The sequence below is a fragment of the Homo sapiens genome, chromosome 1 (genome assembly GCF_000001405.40).
Source record: "Homo sapiens chromosome 1, GRCh38.p14 Primary Assembly".
Lineage (NCBI taxonomy): Eukaryota > Metazoa > Chordata > Mammalia > Primates > Hominidae > Homo > Homo sapiens.
The window spans coordinates 167255986-167258264 of NC_000001.11; the positions used below are offsets into that span (position 1 = coordinate 167255986).

General features: G+C 38.3%; 1 protein-coding gene and 1 long non-coding RNA gene across 11 annotated transcripts in view; both read left to right on the forward strand.

The window, feature by feature from the left end:
• Positions 1–2279, forward strand: part of POU2F1 (POU class 2 homeobox 1) — a 206461-nt gene that overhangs the window by 35101 nt on the left and 169081 nt on the right. The gene's annotated exons all lie outside the window — the stretch shown is intronic.
• LOC124900412 (uncharacterized) overlaps positions 1–2279 on the forward strand; it is a 52839-nt gene that overhangs the window by 14369 nt on the left and 36191 nt on the right. The gene's annotated exons all lie outside the window — the stretch shown is intronic.

A 2279-nucleotide genomic window follows, 5' to 3' on the forward strand; every position in this document is an offset into this window, starting at 1 on the left:
GTCCGTGCTTACGGGGTGGTGTTTACTTTGCTTCAGGATTCAGGATTGTGTTCCCCTAGTTACATGGTTGGTTCAAGGTGGGCACATTACTCTAGTGAAGCCAGTCACAGCTTTTGCTTTTGTTTGAGCTGTAGGAGAAAGATTCTTTGTGCTTAAACCTAGGGGCTGATGAAGGATGAGAGTGGTTCTACAACTTATCTGGCCATCAACGGGAAGCCTGAGAATAAGAAAATACAAAGAGAGGCAAGCTGAGTGTGTTGGGGGTAGAAGAGAAGAGAGAGGGAAAAGGGAGAAGTATCAGGTTGTGAAGGCATTGCCTGAGTGTCAGAAATGAACTCTACTTCTGGCTATTCTAGTTCCTTGAGACAATAAATTTCTTCTTTTTTTTTTTTTTTTGCTGAGTTTGTGTTGGGTTTTCTGTTCTTTGAGATTGATAGGGTCCTAACTGGTATAGAAATGATAATAATTGTTGTTGAAGCAGGAGACTAGATGATGGAGATAACATAACTTTTTAGATGAAGAATTGTTGAGGATATTCACACCAAATAACTTTGAATTTCAACTTGAGAATAACTGAGGTTAAGTGAGTAACTGAAAGTCATGCAGCTGAGAGTAGAATTCAGATCTCAGAATCTTCAGCTTAGTGAGTTTATACCATATCATCTCACTTACGCCACCCGAAAAGTTACGAAATGATAGTCTTTGGATGTGTTGCCTTTGAATAAGGGAGAGTAATTTATTTATTTATTTTTTCCCCTTGGTGGTTGTATTTGGAAAACTTTGGGATGTAGCAGTACAATGACTTTCCTGCTCTGAAGAGCCTGAGTGAATGCCTATTGATATATTAGAGTCTGGGTGCACTGGTTATAACTACACAAATCTTTATTTTGAGGCAGTCATAATTTTGAGTTGCTTCAGGGAGAGAGATACTTATAAAGCAGTAAAAACCTGTCCGAATGTGACTGTACCTTTTCACTGTCTGGATGTGCTTGTGGAAAATGTCTCCCTAGGACCTTTAATTTTGTTCCTAAATTTACAACAGAGCCACTTCTTGATGCTATCTATTGCTCAAGGTACTGTTGGCGATAAGATTGTTATTAAGTTGGGTAGGTGAGCTGTAGACTGTGTCCTGCAGGGAACCATTTATTGTTTTGTACAAGAATAGGTAGTGGTGAGGAATCAGGTCTCATTTTGGGCATCAAATGGTCTCTCACTTTAAAATCTGACATTGGCACTACTTTTTCTTTGATTTAAACAGAAAGACCAGCAGATGTTCATGTGAGCATGAGGATAACTTAAAAACAACCATTTTTTTTTAAGGCATTGGCTCTATTTTATTTGCTCTATGAAAAGTAAAAACAAGGAAGAGCACTACAGTAACACATACACCTATGTCCAAATGATGAGAGGTGGATGGCATTTTGGCCTGATGTCAGTTACTATAATTCTTTCCCCAGAAATGTCTTTCTTTTGAGCCCTGACGTCGATTTTCAGTTGAAAATGTTGGAACCGTATAGGGCTGAACATACATAGTAGCTTCAAATCTAAAGAAATTTGCTGAGAAGTGAAATAAACTTTTATTAAAACTATTTGAGGCAAAAGGGTATTGAAGAAAATGGGAAATGTAAACTGTAAGTGATTGCATTGTAGGAAATATTAAGGGATCTATTTAGACAAGACTTTGGCAACTAGAGGTAATAATAATGGCCAACATTTAATGAACACTGATGATGTGCCTGACACTGCTAAACTGTGTTATCTTATTTAATACTCAAGTCTTGGAAGCAGGTTTTTTTTTTTTTTTTTAAAGGCAAGGTCTTGCTCTGTCTCCCAGGCTGGAGTGCAGTGGTGTAATTATGGCTCAGTTCACCCTCAACCTCCTGAGGTCAAGTGATTCTTCCTCCTCAGCCTCCTGAGTAGCTGGGACTACAGGTGCGTGCCATCATGCCTGGATAATTTTTTTTTTTTAATTTATTTTCTGTAGAGACAGGGTCTCACTATGTTTCCAGGCTAGAGGTAGATGTTTTTAACTTCCATTTTACAAAAGAGGAGTCTTGAGATTTAGGTAAAATAATTTGCCCAAGGTTCCAAAGCTAAGCTGTGATTGTCATGTGTGTCACCGCTGAGATGTAAACATAGGCAAGCTGATTCTCATGCCCCCACTTTAAACAATATGTTATAGCTCCAGATGAATGAATATGCTCTTACCTCTAGTTATATTGTGACTCCAGAAGTGACTGCGGGTAACATTTTGCTTCATTTTCTACTGTTTCTTATAG